Source organism: Homo sapiens, chromosome 18 (assembly GCF_000001405.40).
Source record: "Homo sapiens chromosome 18, GRCh38.p14 Primary Assembly".
NCBI classification, from domain to species: domain Eukaryota; kingdom Metazoa; phylum Chordata; class Mammalia; order Primates; family Hominidae; genus Homo; species Homo sapiens.
The window spans coordinates 34951933-34975242 of record NC_000018.10 but is presented as its reverse complement, the minus strand read 5'-3'; the positions used below and the strand labels follow the sequence as shown (position 1 = coordinate 34975242).

Below are 23310 nucleotides of genomic sequence, written 5' to 3'. Positions count from 1 at the left end.
CTCATATCTTCCTTCCTTACTTCTCCTTCTCTCTCTGTCCTCCAAATATGAGTGTTTCCTCAGACTAATTTCTTGCCTTTTTTCCCACTATGCCATTTTCTTTAGAAATTTTATGTGTGTCTTATGTTCATCTTTCAAGTGTGAGCGGATTACTTCTGAATCCGTACCCACATTCTTAACCCATTTGCAAGCCTTATTTCTGCCTTTCCCTTAGTTGCTAGGAATTTCCATTTTCACGAGCTTTTAAAATTTTATTTATTTTTCCACTTGAACTATATTTTTATTTGTGTAAATGTATGGGGTACCCGAAAGATTTTCCCAGGTATATAATGGATAGTGACCAAGTCAGGGTATTTACAGTGTCCATCACCTGAGTATAATATGTATATATATTTTTAAGCATAGTCATCTTATTCCCTATCACACATTAAATTTACTCTTTCTCTCTTACTCTATGTTTGTACACTTTAACCTCCTTCTCTTCATCCTCCTCCCCCTCACTACACTCACACTACTCAGTTTCTTTGTCTGTATTTCCACTCTCTACTTCCATGTGTTCAGATTTCTTAGCTCCCACAATATGTGAGAACATACTACATCATTTTGTGCCTGGCTTATTTCACTTATGATAATCTCCAGTTTCATCCATTTGCTGCAAATAACACAATTTCATTCTTTTTTAGGGATGAATCATATTCCATTCTGTATATACACTACATTTTCTTTATCTTTTCATCTGTTGATAGATACTTATGTTGATTCCCTATCTTTGAAATTGTGAATAGTGCTGCAATAAACATGGCAGTTCAGGTATCTCTGATATATTGATGTATTTTCCTTTGGGTAGATGCCCAATAGCAGGATTGCTGGATCAGATGGTAATCCTATTTATAGTTTTCTTGAGAAATTGCCATGCTGTTTTATACAGTGGCTATACAACTTTATATTCCCACTAACAGTGTATTAAAGAGTTCTCTTCTGCACATCCCAGCCAACATTTGTTATTTTTTTGTCTCTTTAATAATAGCCATTCTGGCTGGGGTATGATGGATGATATCTCATTGTGGTTTTGATATGAGTTTCTTTGATTATTAATAATGTTGGACATTTTTTCCATAAGCCTGTTGGTTATTTGTAGTCTTCTTTTGAGAAAGGTCTACTGATGTCCTTTGCCCACTTTTTAATGGGTTGTTTTTTCCTGTTGAGTTGTTTGAGTTCCTTATGTATTCTAGATATTAGTCCCCGTTATATGAATATTTGGCAAATATTTTCTCTCATTCAACAGGTTGTCTTTTCATTTTGTTATTTCTTTTGCTGTGCAGAAATTTTTTAGCTTAATTAAATTACATTTGTCTATTTTTGTTTCTGTTGTCTGTGTTATTGAGGTCTTAGTTATAAATTCTTTACCTAGACCAATGTCTAGGAGAGTTTTCCCTAATTTTCTTCTAGTATTTTTGTAATTTGGTGTCTTACCTTTAAGTTTTTAATCCATTTTTAGTTTATTTTTGTATATGTTGAGAGATAGGGGGTCCAGTTTCACTCTTCTGCATGTGGCTATCCAATTTTCTCAGCACCATTAATTTAAGAGGGTGACCTTTCCCAGTGTAAGTTCTTGTCAGCTTTTTCAAAGATCAGTTGGCTATAAATATGTTGCTTTATTTCTGTGTTCTCTATTCTATTCCATTTGTCAATGTGGCTACCCACTAGATTTTAGTGTGTTCTAAATTAAACCCCTTTCTCCTCCCATAAAACTGATACCTCCTTGGTGATAAATCAAGATGGTTATTTGCAGTGGGGAGCCCTCAGTGCTAATCCAGGGACCTGGCAATGGTGTGGAACCCAGTGTGATTTATCCCAACTACCTTCCTGCTGCTCCTAGGTATTTATTTGAGACATTGCTCTCAACAGTGACTGGAGTCAACTCATGTATATGTATATACTACCTACTGGTGTAACAGTCACATATGCAGTTGTGGGATGCTACATAAATGGTGACTGAGCTAGTGAGAGATTGTATCAGTCAGGGTAGGCTAAATTATGCTGCTGTAACAAATGCCATCAAAATATCAGTGGCTTAATACAACAAAAGTAAATTTCCTTCTCATGCAAAATTTCCAGTGCTGCTATCACAGTGACTCATTGTTCTAGCCACCTTCATTCCTGTGACATTTCCATGAGCACCATGGCAGAGGAAGGATGTGGAGAACTGCACACCAAACCTCAAGTGCTTTCATCCAGAAGTGATACAGGTCACTTCTCACATTTCTCTTGTCAAGGAAAGTCACATGGTCATTGCCTAACTTTAAGGGCTATGTTTATGTTTCTAGGAATCACCAAGATTCTAGATCGTACTTTCTAGGAATCTTGGTGATTCTGAGTAATGCCTGCCACAGGGATCCATTTCGCATAGGAGGGTTAGGGATAAAGCTAGACTGAAAATAGTCTAGCTATAGTAGAGGATAAGCAACAGGTTACCAGTTCAAGGAAGGTACTCTGTTACATGTAGAGTCTTTGGGAAACATTAATGTTGTTGTTATCATTATACAATATTATGTAGAAAAACACTTAAAGGTGACAAATTCTCTCTCTCTGCCTGCCAGGGTTATCTTATGATTTAGCCAAGGTTAGTCTACTCCAGGTTAGAGTGCAGTTTGATCATCCAAACTCTTCTGTGACACAGCATTCAGGAAAGATCATCTGTATGATACCCTAGGGAACACACCAACCATTAGGTAAGTAAGGTTACATTAACACAAATAAATTTGCTAATTTTGATGACATTGTTGGTCATTCTCTCCTTGAGGAGTGAAGGTATGTGTATAAATGAAATATTTTAGTGGTATCAAATTGTCCTATGTTTTTCCCATGATTATCTGCTTATGCGTTACCAAATAATTTACTTGTCATGTTCGTGGGAATGTTGAAATAAAGCTTTGTGAGTAAAATTCAGTTCATAAACAAAGGGAAAAAACACTGATATCAATGTGAGAAAAATAAAATCATGCTTTTCAATAAGTTTTGGGTTTCTTTCTCCAAAGGGCAGAGATTATGTCAACTAAACTTGCTTCCTGCATCTCCCAACACTTCATGTGCTTAAAAGAGATAAAGGACTGATGGATGCTGTAAGCTCTGAAGTGCTATGCAGATCTAGGATATTGTAATGTGTTTCTGGGCACTGAATAGTGTTCTTGATCTCAACAGTTTTACGTTGTCTTTGCCCACATCCATCAGTGACATCTACTCTCCTTTTAAAACATTTACTTCTTTATAAGACTGTTACCAATTAAATATTTTTATATAATATGAGCATCTTCCCAAAGCTGATATTCTGAGAATTTCAATCAATCACACATTTCCAAAAATATCTAGCACAAGGGACTACAAAGGAGAGGCAAAGTTTATCAATTAATGTTTTAAGCTGTTTACTAAAATTATTTTTATTTTATATAATTAATTTTTGCCTCTGAGTCCTTGCTAAGTTGTAATATTGCTTTAAATATAAATCTTAACTTCAAGAAATATGCTACAGTGAATTACTTATAAATATATCAGCAATACCCTGTGAAACTGAGATGGAAGTGTTCATTACCAAGATATGATAGTGTTTATTAAGATGAGTAGCAAAGGTGGCATGAAATGACAGCTTGCAGGGATCACTGCTTTATGATGACTCTAGCGTTTATTCATGGAGTAAGTGTTGCAATAAAAAATAATACCACCTTCAAAGAACTCTGTGGGCTCTTAGGAGTATTTGTGAGTCAACTAAAAAGTGTCATCATTTTATAAGTGAAGTTCAGGAGAAAGCTTAAATGACTCACCCATGTCCTAATTTCTGGCTATGACCACTGGCAAAAACTGCTGCCTCCATAAGATAACATAGAATGGAAAAGCAAAATTATTATATGATACACATTGGGATGTATATTATAAGCTATGTTTAACGTACATCAAAAGGAGAAAAATTTTAACCTGGGCTCATGCAAAACCATCGTGTGATAGAAATGTTTATGATTTTATGTCACACTGAAAATAAACTCACATGCAAAGAAATAAGTTGGATATATTTTTTTAATATGCTGCTTGGAACAGGTGTAGCTGAAGGTAATCAGTTCTATACATTTTGAAGGCAATAGATTTAATTAATTTATTAATTAGTAATTATCTCTTAGAAGGTAAAGCTATCTTTTCAGTCCCCCTCAGTCTCTGAGGCTGAGATGGAATTTCTAGTTTTCTGTTGCAGCTCTATGGAGTACAATGCTTTCTAGGGATCACTGGGGTCACCACCATCTCATCGTGGGATCTTCTGGAAGACAATGCAGCCAGTTTTTGTTGAATCAAAAGCTATTCTTGATTAATTAAACCTTACCTTGCCAGTTGCACCTTCTTTGCAGCTCCCTTATATCCTATCTATGAATTGGTCAGCCAGTGTAAGAATAACAGGGAATTGATTCCTTGACTCTTCTCAGAAGCTTTTTCCTCTTGGTCTTCAATTCTTCAACAAATATTTGCTGTTCTTTGCTTTTTATATTTAAAATTGCTCAATCTTTCTAAGTTGTAATATCCCGAAAATATTTTTTGTGGTGCTGTCTATTGGGAAGTCTCTGTGTTAGGCTCTGTGATTACTCAAATGGTCTTTGGCTCCAAGGGGCTTCCAGCATAGGGAGAGACATATGTGTCCATAGTGTGGCTCAAGGGGCATTAAAAGGTGTGAACAGAGTGCCCAGAACACTGGGCAGGCAGAAAGAACATCAAAGTGCTCTAATTTGTGCATGTCTTGAAGGATGAAGAAGAGTGTACTAGGTGAAGATGTTTTTGGATAAGGCAGTGTGTGGGTAAGAGTATTCTAGATAGAAAATGTGAAAGACAAAGCTATAACCAGATTCGAGGATGATGAAATGTTCAACGTGGCTGATGAGTAGGCTTTGAGGAATTGAGAGATTGCTCAGGGTGACCAGGAAAGTCCTTGCATGTCCAGCTGAGATATTTGAATGTAATACATTAGCCAGTGGTCTCCAAAGTAGGGTGAGAACCACTCAAGGGCTTTGTGAGTGATATACTGGGGTGTGGGAAGAAAAGGTTAAAACTTGGCTATCTATCCAAAAATGTGAGAAACGATTTATGCTTTATTAATAAGTAACATGGATTGACATTGGCGCTCTCACTTGGTCCGTATATCAGACAGACAGAGGGACTGCTATGTGCAAGGAATTCTGAGGGAAGGTTGGGATCCACAGCTGAGGGGTGTCCTTAACAACCTTGTTCATTCTTAAAGCAAATTACCATTTATCAGCAATTTATGTTACTCAGTGAAGTGGATTTATGTATTATATTATCTGGATTGACTAACCTAAGCCTCACAGAATGGACAAATAACTTAAAAAGATTGAAATAACATGAATATTTCAAATGTTAATAAATTTTAACAAAAGTCCTTGCAAAACTGGTGGATGGTCTTTGAAAAATGAGTATCATACTTTCATAAGCTCATCCAATGAATGCTTCCTCTGTTTGCATATGTGGTTCTATGTGAGGTGTATTCTGTAGCTCTGACAGCCATAAAAACTAAATATAAGTAAGCTGTACTCAGATTTGTAAGTTGCCTTATCACAATAAAAATTTCCAAAAAATGTGAAGAATATTCAACCATATTACTCTCACTAAACAACATTTTAGTAATGGCAAAAGGTTTTTATCTACCATTATAAATGGAATAAATTAATTAGCTAGGTATGGTGGCATGCACCTGTAGGCCCAGCTATTAGGGAGGCTGAGACAGGAGGATTGCTTGAGCCCAGAAGTTAGAAGCTGCAGTGAGCTATGATCATGCCACTGCACTCCAGTCTGGACAACAGAGCACGACATTATTTCTTAAAAAAAAAAAACAAAAATAATAAATAAATGGCATATAAAATAGGGGTTATTTCATCTTCATCTCATCCTTTAATTTTTCAATTTTTATGTTTTCTTATGTGTATGATATATTAATGCAGTACTTGTATAATATATGCTATTTACAAATGGATATGTGTATTTGAGATAAACATTTTACTTATAGGAGTGCATGGGCAGAAGGAAAACCAAAAACGGTATTAGGGAAATGGTGTCTATGATCTGGTTTGTTTTTAGGAAGATGACTTCAGCCACAGGATGAAACAGATGACGAGAGACTGGAGTCTAGAAGATCAGCCAGAGGGCAAGTATCGTGATCCAGATGAAAACCGATGAGGACCTGGCCTAAAACAGTGATAATGATGATAGAGAGGAGAGATCACCAAACATGTGATCTTCAGTAAGAGAGAGAGTGAGAGAGAGAGTGTGTGTGTGTATGTGTGTGTGTGTGAGAGAGAGAGAGAATGTGTGTGTATGTGTGTGTGTGTGTGAGAGAGAGAGAGAGAGAGAGAGAGGTTATTTCCAGGTTTGTAGCTAGCCAGTCTAAGTGGATGGTAGAACTGTTAGTAGAGATGATGAAATGGGATATCAAGCATGATACTGAGTTCACTTTCGGACATGTCAAGTCAGAGGTCCCTAAGGGATTCTGGAAAGATGTCTAATGGGTGGTTTAAATAAAAATCTTAAGCTCAGGAGAGCTTAAAGACACAGATTTTGCAGTAGCTTTTATTTCTCAATCTGTAGCCCTTTCTACAACAGCTGATCTTAAAAAATAGCCCTTCCTTTAAAGACAAATTAATGTAACAGCTTAACATTTATAATTATTTATAATGAAAATGATTAAGAATCAACTACTGCATTGTATAATGGTAATGGCAATACATCATTACCAAACAGACAATGTTAGAATTTTAAGTGGACATTTAGGCTAGTTTTGCACTCTAATGACCTCTTTAAAAGTATGTAATTCTTTTCTGGTTTTCCATGTTCACTATTTTGTTATTCCTCAAGGGTTCTCCAGACTGCAGTGTATTGTAAGATAGTCTCTCTTTCTTGCATCACCTAAAACCTTGTGCAAATGGGTCATTTATTTTCTTTCATTGTGCTATAGAAATAATGATTTTTCTGATCTTGCCTTTCCTTCTTTTTTTTGAGACAGAGTCTCACTCTGTCACCCAGGCTGGAGTACAGTGGCACAATGTTGACTTACTGCAACCTCCACCTCCCGGGTTCAAATGATTCTTCTGCCTCAACCTCCCGAGTAGACAGGATTACAGGCATGCACCACCACACTCAGCTTATTTTTCTATTTTTAGTAGAGATGCGGTTTCCCTATGTTGGCCAGGCTGGTTTCGAACTCCTGACCTCAAGTGATCCACGTGCCTCGGCCTCCCAAACTGCTGGGATTACAGGCATGAGCCACTGCACCTGACCCTGCCTTTCCTTCTTACGGAACCATGAGCATTGTAAAACCATAGCACGATTCCTCTTTAACTCTCCATCCTCTCCATATTGTTTATTGAACAACCTGTCAAAGAATGTTCTTGTTGAGTTATGACAATGCCTTTCAAGCCATGCCATTTCTACAAATTTCTTACTGTCATATTGTGATGTAATAAGAAATATATATTTGGTCTGTGCCTTGGTTCCTGGCACAGAATTCCTCAAACCCTTTTAATTTCCTGAGTGATAGTGGTGTTAGGTGCATCTTTTGTGCTGATGTTTGGTCTTGGGCCCTGGCTCCTGACACAGAGGTCCTAATCCCTTGGAGTTTCCTGGGAGATAGGAACATTTTTTGTTCTAACGAGGCAACTTTCTGTGGGCTCCTAGACGGAAGCTGGTCACCAGAAAGACCAAGCTATGATTAGAAGATTGGAACTTTCAGTTCTTCCCTCATGCTCCAGGAAGGAGAAAGGGCCTGGAGATTGAGGTAATAATTGGTCATGCCTATATGATGAAGCCTCCACAAAAATCCCTGAACTGCATGGTTCAGAGAACTCTGGGCTGCTGAACACGTGGAGGTGCTGGGAGGATAGCTTGCTCAGAGAGGGCATGGCAGCTCTGCGCCCCTCCCACGTACCTTGCCCTGTGCATCACTGCCATCTTGCTGTCCATCTGTATCCTTTCTAATATACTTTGTAATAAACTGGTAAATGGAAGTAATCTGCTTTCTTGAGTTCTATGAACCATTTTAGCAAATTAATCAAACTCAAGGAGGGGGTTGTGGGAACTTCCAATTTATAGATGGTTGTTCAGAAATTGTGGAGGCCTAGATTTGTGATTGGCATTTCCAGTTGGGGGTAGTTTTGTTGGAGTGAGCCCTTAACCTGTGGGATCTGATGCTATTTCTAGGTAGGTAGTGTGAGAATTGAGTTAAATTGTAGGACATCCAGTTGGAGTCTGCTGGAGAATTGCTTGGTGTGTGGAGAAGCCCACTCCCCAACATTTTGGTAACCAAAATTGTGAGAGAGTCAACTTTGTAAGAGAAGAGAAAGTGTTTGCTTTTCCCTTATACTTACTAAGCACTTGCAGATAATTTACCAGTATAATTTCAGGCTTCATACAATTTTATTTCTAATATTTATCTCATAAATATGGTTTTATGCCAAATATATATTTATTTAAATTTGGAATTTTCTTATGTTTTGTGGCATTTTATTATTTAAAATTTCCAGCACTTATGCTGTGATTTCCTTATAAAATTGGAATTTATTTTAGTGTAGGAATGTCTCTTTCTCCACTAGAATATGGGGCCCAAGATGACAAGAATTTTTGTCTTTTAGTTTACTGGTCTGTCTCCAGGGCGTAGAACTGTGTCTGAGATATGACAGATGATAATTAAATACTTTTGAATGAACAAATGAATACATAAATAAATAAAAGAATAGATTCATAAATATATCCTGATTTGAATTTTTTTCCTGTTGTTTTAATCCAAATCATCTTTACCACGTTGTATTATTTCTCCGTAATTTAGTGACTCTGTTTTTTAGAAACACTATGTAACATAAATTTATTGTAAGATAGTAACTTTCACACATTCAAGTTTCAGTCATTCAGCATGTAGGAGAAAATGTCCTTCTAAGCTTCTTTTAGCTAACAGACATCCTGAAGACAATAAACATCTTATATGAGTCTCCAAACAAGAGGTAGGAAAGTTAAGATTAGTCTGAAAAGTAAAATGCATCATTCGTAAGAAAGAGTTTTCTTTAGAATATGGAAAATAAGATTTAAAAGGAAGGCATAAAATGCAGTACATAACAATAATAGAACAAGAGACATTAAAATGAATTTCTTAAAGGCAATGAATATCTGTACCGGTGAAGTGCTAATCATACGCTACATTTCAAGGCGTTGCTAAGATAGCATTTAACCACATCCACAAATTAATTCTTGCCATTAGAGTATTAACATTTCACAAAATGTTTTTCTCCCGTCTAAATTCTGGGAAGAGCAACTGGGAAAAAAGCCACTTAATTGTCTCAGAGAAATCTAGCTGCTGTGAGCTGTATGTTGGCTCTGGGGATATGGATCAGGATTTCTGTAAATGAGGATAATGGATAGAGAACAATATCTGCAGTGATGGGAGAGTTGGGCCCTGAAACTCCCAAATCAACTGTGCTTTGGAGGAACACTCACATGCTACCATGTGTTTCCTTTGTTCTCCAAGAACATCCATTCTGTTCATCACTCACAAGCACACATTTAGTTTTGTCTCATAACTGGGAGTATGAGTAAATATAGAATACAAAATATGTTCTTACTGAGATACCAAACAGGTATATTCATAACTCCTCCTTTCCTTTTATTTTCTTTGTTGATTTTCTTTCTTACAAGAATCTTACAAGATTAAACAAATTTTAGACAAGTCACAAACATTACTATGTTAGTTTAATACAAATGCATGTTTATAATAGCAATGACAACATAGGAACAGGGATCAGGAGTCCATGTCACTGCCACAGAAACCTTTATGATGGTTGCAGATCTTTGTGATTATCTCCAGAACAGTGATATGTTTTGATGCCAGGTCAGACTCTGGCTAAAGGCCAAGTTAGCAACATGCTCTTTTATTCATAATGAGCTCTAGCTTGCATGAAGTGGAACCAAGTGCGACACTTTTGATCCTGGCTTCTAGAAACCTCAGATTCCAGAAACAGTGTCTGACTGGCTTTTTCAAATCAGGAGAGAGCACTGTGTAGTTAAAGAAAAAGAAATCATCAAAAAGCCCAGAAACAGTCAACTAGTTAAACAGATTGTAGTTCAGTTATGTGATGGATTATTTGGTAGCTGCTGAAAAAAATCAGCAGTTAAATATATTTAGGTATTTACGTTAAAGATACTTAGGGGCATGGAAAAATGATCACTTTAATATATTACGGGACAAAAACAAGATTCCAAGGTTTTGAATCTGATATATGCAGTGTGATGTCATTTGAGTAAAGTAAGTTCCCATATGTTTTCATACATGTAAAAGTAAGTAAATAGATAAAGTTGAATAAAACATTTTAAAATGGTGATATTCCTGATTATAGGGGATTTCTATTTTTTTCTTTTTATACTTTTCCCTTTTTTTTTTTTTTTTTACGGAAGCTTACTGTGTCTCCCAGGCTGGAGTGCAGTGTCACAATCTCACGATCTCGGCTTACCGCAACCCCCACCTCCTGGGTTCAAGCGATTCTCCTGCCTCAGCCTCCCGAGTAGCTGGGACTACAGGCACGCACCATCACGCCCAGATAATTTTTGTATTTTTGTAGAGACAGGGTTTTGCCATGTTGGCCAGGCTGGTCTCGAACTCCTGACCTCAGGTGATCCACCTGCCTTGGCCTCCCAAAGTTTTAGTAGACATTTTTATTGGCTTTTGTGTGTCAAAAATAAATCAGTCTCTCTCTTTGTATATGTAGTTGTGTGTATGTGTGTGTGTGTGTGTGTTTGGCCTGTGGTGCTGACGCCAAACAACTGGGCACCACTGCCTAGCCAAGTTGACTAGTAAAATTAACCATCACACTTTTCAAGCATTCATTTTTACATTCTTTTTTTTTAGTAATAAGAAAATTTTTCAGTTTTCCCTGTTCGGTCCCTATACATTTCATGTACATTTTCACTTTCCTAAAAACGGTTACAATTCAGGTGAACTGAGATGACTTAGATGACCTTAGCAGATGAATATTACAATTTTTACTTAGAGGCCGGGTGCAGTGGCTCACGCCTGTAATCCCAACACTTTGGGAGGCCGAGGCGGGTGAATCGCCTGAGGTCAGGAGTTTGAGACCAGCCTGGCCAACATGGTGAAACTCCATCTCTGCTAAAAATACAAAAATTAGCCGGGAGTGGTGGCAGGTTCCTGTAATCCCAGCTACTCAGGAGGCTGAGGCAGGAGAATCACTTGAATCGGGGAGGCAGAGGTTGCAGTGAGCCAAGATTGCACCATTGCACTCCAGCCTAGGGACAAGAGTGTGACTTCATCTCAAAAAAAAAAAAAAAAAAAGATTTTTTACTTAGAATGCTAGGATAGAATTTCTGTCTCCATTGTAGTGTAGGGGGTGCAGATGGGAAACCTGGAACAGATACCACGAAAGAAGCTTGTCTCAAGAAGGCTGACACAATGGGAGACATAGCAGGGAGATGGAAAGAAACTGCTGTTGTGATAGCCATTAGTTCCTGAATTAAATCAACTCTACCCTCTGTTCTTCCTCTGGATTTTCAGTTACACACATTTTTCTTACATAATCAAGCTTTTCTGTTACCTGCAACCATATTTCAGCTAATACTCAGTATTTTTCAGGTTTTTAACAAATATACATTACTTTTATGCTAACAAAATAATTATTATATTCATTGATTCTAAGACAAACTTTTTTTTACCTTTTAAAATCCTTGAAATTGGCATGTATTATACAATCCATGGCATGTCATAATTTAATAGAACTTTCTTTCATAGGATACATTAAAAAGTAATGTTGCGAGGCACAGAAAGATAAATATTACATGTTCTCACTCATATATAGAAGAAAAAAAGTAGATCTCATGAAGATAGAGAATAGATTGGTGGTTACCAGAGGCCAGGAAGAGTAGGGGAGAGGAGGAAATGAAAAGAAGTTGATTGATGGGTACAGTTTGATAGATTAAATAAGACCTACTGTTTGATAGATGAGTAGGGTGACTATACTTTACAATAATCTATTGTATATTTGAAGATAGTTGAAAGAATAATTTGAATGTTTCTAGCATAGAGAAAAGACAAATATTTAAGATGATGGACATCCCAATTACACTGATTTGATCTTTACAAATTATATGAATGTATTATCACATACTCTGAAATTATATACGTCTATTATGTATAATAATAATACGTTGATTGTCATATTCAATGATGCTTTAGACTTGATGAAAAACAATAATGTTTTAGACTTGATCAAAGTATTTTTTAAGAAAGATGGAATGCCAATGCCCAGGACACCTGGAAGGATATGGCATATACTACTGGCACCATATAGCGACCTGGATGACCCCACATTTCTGGATTGGTCCAAGAAGAAATCAGAAGCTTAGAACTTGGCTTTGCTGTACTGCTAAGGCTAACATAAGCTAGGCTGACACAGAACACTTTATTATTGCTATTAAAATGAGAGCAAATGTTTTCCTTTCAAAGACTGTAGATCACTGCTTGAAATGGCCTAGCAGTACATAATTTTTAGTATCTATTTTCTTTTCAGTTTACTATATTGTTTTATATGACTTTTTGTTTCAAATGGCTTCAAAATCAACTTCCTCAGTCATGCCACTTCAAGCTCTCACATACATGAGCATTAAATAGTAAGATCATATTATGCACATGTGCATATGGTGTTAAAACACTTTTCAATCTATTATATAACTAGATTCTGTAACATTTTTGTGAGTTAGGCACGGTATTATGATCCCTTTAGTATTCAAGAGACTTTCTGTCACAGAGTAGTTGGTGTAGAGACAGGACTTCCAATGGACTGGAAAGAAAGGGCTGATGAATGAAGTTTTATTGCGTGAAGTTATGACCTGTGTCATTAGCAAAGATAGAACACAGTTTTAAAGTTTTTGAACCCTGGTTCAAGGTTATGGTCATCAATTCATGACTGTCTTTCTGTTCACGTACATATTCTGCCATTAAAATATCACTGGAGAACCGAGGCCATTGTGATTCACTAATTTTTAAAAGATCCTATTTATTTTGTGATAACTCATGTTATACCGTAAACACTCAACAATAAACTATTTCAGGAACTAAAATCTTCAATGCTATTATAATTTATTGGATTAATTTCAATTTTAAAATGGTTTGGAATGTGTATCTTTGACCAGAATTGGCTAACTATGTCTATGATAGTCTTTTATATCATAATAAAAATTGTATGAACAGTAACAGTGTACAAAAAATTACTTCTGCAATTCTATGAGCTATGAGTAATGTTAGTGCTGTGACAGAATCTATCAGTATCTGTGATAAAATTTATCAGTGGCAAATAAAATAAATCATATCCTCTGTTCCGTGATTAACATAGAATTTATGTTAGCACAGAATTCACTTTGAAACACGTGATCTAAATTTAATATGTTAATTTAAGCAAAATGTTAACACAATCATTTTCTCATTTTTATTTAGTTTGATAATGGTTCTATGTCTCTGAGAGAGAAACTAAATGTTTGCTTATTCATTCAACAAACACTTGTTAAATGCCTCTCCCTCATTTTTCATCACATTACCTGTTGAATTTTCTTCAGAGTACTTGTAGCTATTAAAAATTATTATTTATTTATTTATTATTTTTTTCCCATGCTAAAAGTTAAATTCATGAAAGCAAAGAGATTTTCTTTCTTGATTACCACTGTATTGCTAATGCCTAGAGCAGTGCCTGATATAGAGAAGGGGCTCAATATATTTTTTGTGATGGCTATACAATATGAGTGAGAGAGAGACCTCCTGATATACTGGTGTCCCAACTGAGCCTGGCCTGCCAGTCATCCTCACCAAAGCACCAGACATGTAAATAGCCACCTTGGATGTTCTAATCCAATTGAGTCCAGAAAGAGTGTACCCCTAGCCAATATCATGTGGAGCAGAAGAACCCTCCAGTTGAGCTCAGTCAACCCACAGAATAGTGAGAAGTTATAAAATGGTTGCTATTTTAGGACATTGAATTTTGGGGTGGTTTTTGAGTGCATCAATAGGTAACCACAATACTACTGGGTTTTTTTGCTTTCTTTTTTTTTTCTTTTGGAAGAAGTGTTTTTTGTTTTGTTTTGTTTTGTTTTCTTAAAAAAAGGAAAGGATCTGGGGATGCCAGGAAGTACAGGGTGGTAGGAAGTAAATCAGTTAATAATTAAAATATGTTGTTGTTTCAGATCTATCTTTCTTTTAAATGTTTCTGTGTATTTTTCTGTTCATCCTTTTAACCACACTCACATGAGAAAGAGAAAATTTCAAAAGTTTTACCTTTAAAAAGATATACAGTAACATTTTAAATATTAACTCAGAATTGGAATTTCATATTATAAATAATAGTGATTTACTTTTTCTTCTTTGTTCTTAATGATTCACATCTTTCACTTATTTGTTTTAAACTAGATTAGGCAGGAATTACAGATGATGGACCAAAAAAATCATAAATTAGGAGATAGCTAGTAGTTAGAATGAATTCAGGGAAAAATCTCGGGTAACTACATCTTTTACTTATACTTGCTATTATAAGAGCGCTACACATTTTGTGAATTACTGTCCCAAGTCATTCAGCTACACTTATTATATTTTGTTTTAATTATTTTCTACATCCTCCTCTTTATCAGGCGATGCATTTCTTGAATGCAGAGACTACATCTTATTTTTCTCTCAGGCATAGCTTTTTTCTAGCATACTACCTGGCTACTACATAGTAGGTACTAAAGATGTGTTAGTTAGATGGCTTTGTGGGAAGAGATAAAGGATGGCTTTTATTTCCTCGGTGAAATAAGTGGGCTTATCTTCTGAAAGTTAAGAAGTAGGATCAGGTTTGGAGCTTGAAAGCATGACATGGGAATTTTTAAGTTAAAGCCACAGGATTTCCGGGTAGTACTGGGATTCCAGGTGAGTTTGGCAGCCGTAGGGTTTGGGTTTTGGTTTGGGGTAGGACAGAAGAGGAGTTTTTCCGCTGCTTCCATTTTATGTAAAAGAGTGGCAGTGAACTAGAGAGATGGAAGGTTTTGGTCTTTCAACTTTTGACTGATTTATGACTTTGAAAAGTAATCAGCATTTTAAAAAGTAAGCATTTTACTTATTTTCTTTGAGAAGCCCATTTATGTAAATCAAATTCAACTATTACTATTCAGTACTACCTAGAAAAATTGGTAATAGTTGAATTTGATTTACACAGATGGGCTTCTTGTTTTATTTACTTGGGCAATGCCCTGTAACCTTCTAGGAAGTTCATACAAAAAAAAAGAGTCCACCTAATAAGGTAACAAAATGTCTTAGGAAAGTAGCAAATGAAAAACAAAACAAAACAAATTCCCACATACACCTAACATTCTGAACATAAAGCTGTTTTGTTTATTTAGAGAAATTGGTACTTTCACCTCATATAAGTGTGAAAATTCAGCTAACCAGGGTAATGGAGAGAGAGAGCAAAAAAAAATTATTATTTTTAAGTGGGAGAGGAAGAAGCAATGGAGATACAAAGTGCCTTGCCTACTTTAAGGTGGAATGGTTGAGGTGCATAGAATGTCAGCATAGCTAAGTCTGTACCTGTAGATCACAGAGTTGCAGAATCCAATTGGATGTCATCTTCATATTTCTGAAAGTTGTGGCCCTGATAGAAAAAATATGGAGATAATTCCAAAAAAAAATCAGACAATGAATAGGTTAGTTGCAATCCAGACAAGGTGGTGAAGGGGTTGAAAAGGAAAACTGTTGAGAAGAACTGGTAATTCAGGTACTTGTGGGCTGCTAGATTGGCCTATTTAAAGATACAAAGTCCACAGTGGTTATAAACACGGGCTCATTGTATCCCAACCTTAGGGTGAGTCTTTTGGTTGTTCTTGGGAGCAGTTTTTGTTCATAGAGAGGACTATTTGTACTGGCTTTGATCTTTTAAAATTAATATTTGATTGATTAAAGTTACAAAATTCAAACTCTAGTTCTTCTTTAAGCTTTAAATTTAAACTTATAAATCTAATGATTCAGTTTAAAAATTTGGTATAGTTTAAAAATTAATTTTAAGGAGGATGTATACATTTAACACATTTGATATTTTTAGAGTGATTAAATTATCAGATCAAATAACACTTTCTCAAGTATTTAAATTATTAAAATCTATTAAATTATATTCATAAACATGAGGAAGCTACAATATTTATTATTCTAAATGTTGTCATATTGCTTATAAACCCATAATTCTTTTATGCATTTGCATTTAAAATCATATGTCTAAATGAATCATCTAATTGCACATTTAAAATTGGAATCACAATATTCATATAACATATTCTTTGTTCTCTTATATACTCTTAGTGCCAATTATGCATATGTATTTCTAATATTTAACACAATAATACTATATATTTGACTTACTTTTTCATCTCTCTCCTTTAATATACATTTGCCTGGGGAAAAAATAAAGGAAAAAATTTCTACCCAGTAAATTAGGGTGACTCTACCAAGACCTTCTCAAATGGACAAGTGCATATCTGCTGGTAATTTTGTTTGGGTTATAGGGTATTTATTGTCCTGAGACACTGTCAAGGACCTGAGGGCAATGTGAGCCCTCTGTATAGTGGCTTTAACAGGGCTACCACTGAGAAAAGGTATCGTTTCACAACCCATGCTAGCCCCTAAGATTCAGTCTCTACAAAATTCAATTCTTTCTCCTCATAATTGCTTTACCAGTTGATAGAATTCAACTAATTTCTTTATCTCTTGATTCTACTCTGAATTCATTTCATAATTTTCTTCCTTGATAGGGCCAAACTATTATATTTAGATGGCATTGGATTGGGTTCTGCATATTCATCATGGCTTTGCCTTGTTCTTCAGCTACAAAACTGAAGTCCTAGTAATGATGGATAAGACCACTTGATTTAGTTTGGGTGCCCCTGGAAGTAGGCCCTGAAAAAAGGACTGCAGCTTAAGTAGGATACAAAGTAAACACTGGGAAGTGGGACAGAGACAGAAGCCAGCCAACAAGAATTGTCACTGTGGGCTACTGGAATTTAATGCCAATGAGGGAACTCTGGGAACCAGTATAGAACACGTGTTTCAGAGTCATTCTCATCCAAGAGGTGAGTGAGGTGAGGTATTTATGCACCAATTCCTGTCAGTCATGCGTTAAATGCTGTTCCTGGAGGTCACTAATTTCCAGTACTTTCAGCCTATGCCACAGGACAAAGTGCTTTCAGTGATGAGAAAATGCTCACAGGCAAAGACATATAGGAGCTGAATTGGTAGAAGCATGAACCTGTCTGTCATTTTCTTCCTTGAGAACTTCATTGTACTTTATGACAAACTAGTTTCATAGTTCTTAATGACCATTTCCTCCAAGTCTCTCAAATACTAGTGATCTGCATTATCCAGTACACCATCTTCTACCTGTATCAGATTCCAGTTAACAACAAGTGAGAATGTTAATAGTTGGGTTGCCACAGAATGCCTAATGTTGGTACTATTCCACTTATCACCAGTAGTGGAGCCCTTATTGCCATTTGGCTGGTGAATTGTTCAATTCTAGAATCCCATTCTGAAAATCTGCTTCTTAGGATTTTTGCCTTGCCGCTAGCTCAGTTTGGGCTGTCACAGAAACATACTTTGCGAGAAAGATGGTAGAACAAAAAGTTTATTTGAGAGATGAAGCAAACATCAGTAGGAGAATTGGGAACTAAAACAAGGAGGGAAGGCAGCCAATAAAAAGGTTCATTGTCTGGTTAGTTACCACTGTGGGCAACTGGAATTTAATCTCACTGGGGGATCTCTGGGACCTATGTAGAACAGATGCCTCAGTGCTATCCCCCGCTCCCCAGGGTAAGGGATCTGGGATATTTATTTAGTAACTCCCTTCCACATTGGTGGAGGGCTCCTGCTAAGGGCTCCTGGCACTTTTGACCTGTTGCAAAATGGCTATAAAAAGCTGTCAGGGAAGGAAACCCAAGTATTGGGAGCTGGAAGCCTGGGCCACATACACAGAAGTGGTTAAGGATGAGAGGATATTAATGGGACACTTGCAGCCTTCCTTATACCATTGTTGTTGAGATTTTTGCTCCAGTTTGATAATAGATGTTTAAATAAAATGAGAATTAAAATTTCCAAAATTTTCAAAGTCTTTTAAATAACTACAAAGCATTTTCAGGATGTTAGTAAGTGTGAATTTGCTGGGAAAGGCAGATTCACTAAGCTGAGCTATTTAAGCTAAGCTATTTATTTTTACTTCTGCTAATAAGATTCCCAGATGTAGATGCAAAAGAATAGAATAAACATGTTTCTTGGATCACTAGAGGAAGGAAAGAGTATGAGTCATGTGTATAGAGACAGACAGGAATTTGTTTAGAGAGAAATTAGCACTGCTGGGAATTAATGTACCTATTTTAGAACAAGTAAATGAATTGGTATTGGGTGCTGGTACCCTTCTGGTATCATAAGATAGTAACAATGAAAACAGAAATGTTTTATTTTTCTATTTTCCATGATGAAATTAAATTTCATAGTTTTTTTGTTTGTTGAAGGAACACATTTGATAGAGATGTGAGAAAGTTTTTTTACCAATAATACATGAACTAGGGATGGTCTTGGGTTAATATGATGACCATATTGAAACTTCTGGTTATCTAAAATTTTGTAAATCAAAGTCAACAGTGAGGAGTATGATATTCATTGTCAATAAATTTCCTAAAACAAAATCTTATGTCGGAGCTGTTTTCTAATTAGGCATATTTTCTGAAGAGATATTAAGGAGGCACATTTAATTGTGATAAGGTGTTCTGACTAAATAATAGAAGTTATCAACAATCTTTGTGTGTATAGGAAAAGCAGAATCACTTCTTCTGACTTGCCACAATTACTTGGCAATTTTTACTATCACACATCAAGCATTTTATTTTCCATTTACTGAAATCCATACTGTCATCCATATCCATTATGTGAAAAACATTCTATTGGGCACTATGAATAATACAAAGTCAAGTTCCACAGTTGCTGTCTGTAGGTTGCTTATGGCTCAGTACAAAAAAAGGCCCCCATCTCAGCTATTTCTCTTACAATGGTGACTTTTTTCCCCTTCCAAACTATATTTTATTTATTTATTTAACATTTATTTTACTTTAAGGGATACATATGAAGGTTGGTTCCATCGATAAATTGCATGTCGTGGGGTTTGGTATACATGTTATTTTGTCCCCCAGGTAATAAGCATAGTACTCAATAAGTAGTTTTTTGATCCTCCTCCTCCTCCTCCCACTCTTTACCCTCAAGCAGGCCCCTGTGTCTATTGTTTCCTTCTTGTGTCCATGGGTACTCAATGTTTAGCTCCCATTTATAAGTGAGAACATGCAGTGTTTGGTTTTCTGTTCCTGTATTAGTTAACTTAGGATAATGGCATCCAGCTTCATCCATGTTGCTGCCAAGGACATTATCTCATTCTTTTTTATGGCTGCATAGTATTCCATGGTGTATATGTACCACAGTTTCTTTATCCAGTCCACTGTTGATGGACATTTAGGTTGTTTTCATGTCTTTGATGTGATGTGATGATGTCTGTGATGAACTCATTCTGTGAGGCTAGCATCATCCTGATACCAAAACCTGGCAAAGACACAACAACAACAACAAAATTTCAGGCCAATATCCATGATGAACATAGATGCCAAAATCCTCAACAAAATGCTAGCAAACTGAAATCCAGCAGTATATCAAAAAGCTAATCAACCGTGATCAAGTAAGCTCTGTTCCTGGGATGGAAGGCTAGTTCGACATATGCAAATCAATAAATGTGATTCACCACATAAACAGAATTAAAAACAAAAACCACACGTAGTAGATGTAGTAGATGTAGAAAAAGCTTTTGATAAAATCCAACATTCCTTCATGATAAAAACCATAAAGAAACTGGACATTGAAGGAACATACCTCAAAGTAATAGCTGTCTATGACAAACCCACAGTCAATATCATACTGAATGGGCAAAAGCTGGAAGTATTCCCCTTGAGAACTGGTGCAAGACAAAATTGCCCACTTTCACCACTCCTATTCAACATAGTATTGGAAGTCGTGGCGAGAGCAATCAGGCAAGAGAAAGAAATAAAAGGCATCCAAATAGGAAGAGAGGAAGTCAAATTATCTCTGTTTGCAGATGATATGATTCTACACCTAGAAACTTCATAGTCTTTGCCCAAAAGCTCCTAGATCTGATAAACCACTTCTCCAATGTTTCTGGATACAAAATCAATGTACAAAAACCAGTAGCATTTCTATACACCAATAACACACAAGCTCAGCGCCAATTCAAGAACTCAATCTCATTCACAATAGCCACAAAAAAGATGAAATACTTAGGAATACAGCTAAAAAAGAAGGTGAAAGTTTTCTATGATGAGAATTACAAAATACTGCTGAAAGAAATCAGACATAACACAAACAAATGGAAAAACATTCCATGCTCATGGATTGGAAGAATCAATATTGTTAAAATGGCCACACTGCCCAAAGCAAAGTACAGATTCAATGCTATTCCTATCAAACTACCAACGACATGCTTTCCAAAATTAGAAAAAAACTATTCTAAAATTCATATGGAACCAAAAAAGAGCCCAAATAGCCAAAGCAATCTTAAGTAAAAAGAACAATGGTGATTTTTTGGACCTTTATAGAGAAGTGTTATCTATGACACTTTTTAAGGTGATTCCACCATAAAATTAGATGCTGAACAAAAACTTCAGTGGCTGCTGAAATAAATGATTGTTTATGCATGGTTAGAAAAGTGAGTGGGAACCCCAGAGAAAAGTTTCTGGGTGACTTTTTATAACACAAATGTTGCTAGATAGATATTTCCCAAATGGAAATTCTCTTAGGCAATCAGTGTTTTCCAATTTGAAAGGAGCTAGTTTACCCTTCACAGCACCTCTAAGCAGCTGCAGATGTGGATGAAGTGGATGGAGATGCCTACAAATACTCAGTAGCACTAATTATATTTTGGCAAAAATGAACTCTATTAAATGAGTTGAGTCTGTTCTAGATCCTTGTTCCACATGAACCCAATTTATTTCAACCATTGGCTGTGATTATAGTTGATTGTCTTGGCCCAATTGCATGGTGGTAGATGAACAGATCTGCTTATTCACTTTCTCAGATCAGTAAAATCACTGAGGAGTCAGTAGTCCTGTCCACATCTCTGTGTAATGATATTAAGTAGGTATGCTGTGTGCCTGGAGGAAGTTATCTGCACTGTTATTGCACCCTCCCCAAACACTCTGCTGAGCAGAATCCAGGTCTGAAGCTTACCCTGTCTTTTATCTCCCACAGAGCTGCTTAGAAAGGAGAGCAAATGCCGTGCTTAACATGCTTTCCAAAGAACAAGAAACAAAGCTAAATCTGGTTCTAAGGAAAAGCTAACATTTCTTCAGTCTCTGAGCATGCATATTTTAAAAGGCAAAACCAAAATGCAAAGCATAGTCTGTATTTGTGTCATGACTATCTATCAGATGAAAATTGGCCAGTTAATACATGCAGAATAGGAGAGACCCAAGTTATTAAATCGATGAGTGTTGTTCAGACTAGAATAAATTGGAGTGATAGATAGTACCAGTCAATTTTAATTTTCATTTGGAATCAAACCCTGGACCCTATTTATATTTTCATGTCCATTGATGTGGGTTCACTGGCTTGAGATGGATGGCCTCCAAATATGCTTACACTGTATTCATACTGTGCTGACACTGCTGACATGCATTTGCCTCAAGCTGGTGTACACTGGTCTAAGCAGGTGCCTTGTGCTTCACCAATATTGGCAAATGCAAGGATTTGGCCTTGGCAGGAGGTTGGAATATCTGGTCCTCTTTGATAGCTGGTGAGAATGAAGGATCCCCAACTACATCCTACAGGAAATAAGCCTAGCAGTGACCCCGGAAACTGAGAACAGAATTATCCTACAACCAAAGTGAACATGACCAATTTGGACTACAGTACCTATATGTTAGAAAGAAGGAACATTAGACTAGGTAGGACATGTGGCTGAAACTCAGCTTTGGAAGTAAAGAGATGAACTCACATATGAGTCTTGGCCACTCCAGGGAACTTGCTTGAAGCAACGTAGGGGTGAATGAGAGCAGGGATCTGCCCTTGGAAAATGGGATGGGCTGGAGCCAGGTGGGAAGTAGCTCCCCAGTCAGTCACAGGAGGGACAGACAGTGGCTGGAGGCAGTGAACACAGTAGAAAGGGCAGGCTTGGTGGACTGGAATCAGATTCAAAAGTGCTTTCCCTCAGGTTTGGGGCATGAAAGGGTTTGGGGAGAAAGATGACTTGGTAGGTGACCTGATCACCTTACAAATATATTTGTGATGAGAATACACAAGAGGCTTTGCCTTTCATGTGAAGAATAGTAACTTATTTCCAATCCAGCTGTTATATAATTATTAATTCCCCATGCAACACACATTTATTGAGTGACTGTTATACACATACACCATTACTGGTCCTGGGGCTACAAGCACAATCTTCAAAGAAGTACATACAGTTAATTATAGCAATATGGCAACAAAGAAGAGAATGACATCTGTCCAATATGGACCAGAGGCTGGTGAGAAAAAGTTTCTTAGAGAAGGTAGTGGGATATAGGCAGATGGGACAAACACAGAAACAGTGGAGAGAGATGGTTTGGTTTAGTTGGGGGAAATAGTAGAAGTTCAGCATTGTTGGCTGAATGATGAGGTCCAAAGCCACGCAGGAAATGATTAGAGATATAAGTCAACTGTTCTTACTGCTTCAGGAAAGAGAGTGGGGCCATATTTGCCATTAGCTTATTGGTCATAAAGAACTCTGAGACAAGGCCAGGCATGGTGGCTCACGCCTGTAATCTCAGCACTTTGGGAGGCCAAGGTGACAGATTGCTTAAGCTTAGGAGTTCAAGACGAGCCTGAGCAACATGGCAAAACCTCATCTCTACAACAAATACACAAATTAGCCAGGTGTGGTGGCTTGCACCTGTAGTCCCAGGTACTCAGGACGCTGTGGTGGGAGGATTGCTTGAGCCCAGAAGGCGGAGGTTGCAGTGAGCTGTGATTGTGCCACTGCACTCCAGCCTGGGTGACAGAGCGAGACCTGTCTCAAACAAACAAAACAAAACCACACAACAAACAAACAAACAAACCTCAGGCATTAAAAATATCTAACCTTTATTGAGTGTTTATTATAACCCAGGCACTGTGCCAAG

The 23310-nt window shown here is 36.8% G+C and overlaps 1 long non-coding RNA gene across 1 annotated transcript; it reads left to right on the top strand.

Moving 5' to 3' along the window:
* Positions 1506 to 8052, top strand: LOC124904282 (uncharacterized). Its single transcript, XR_007066336.1, has 2 exons — positions 1506 to 2732; positions 6127 to 8052. It is a non-coding gene; the product is annotated as an uncharacterized LOC124904282 (long non-coding RNA).
* Positions 8053 to 23310: the final 15258 nt, after the last annotated feature.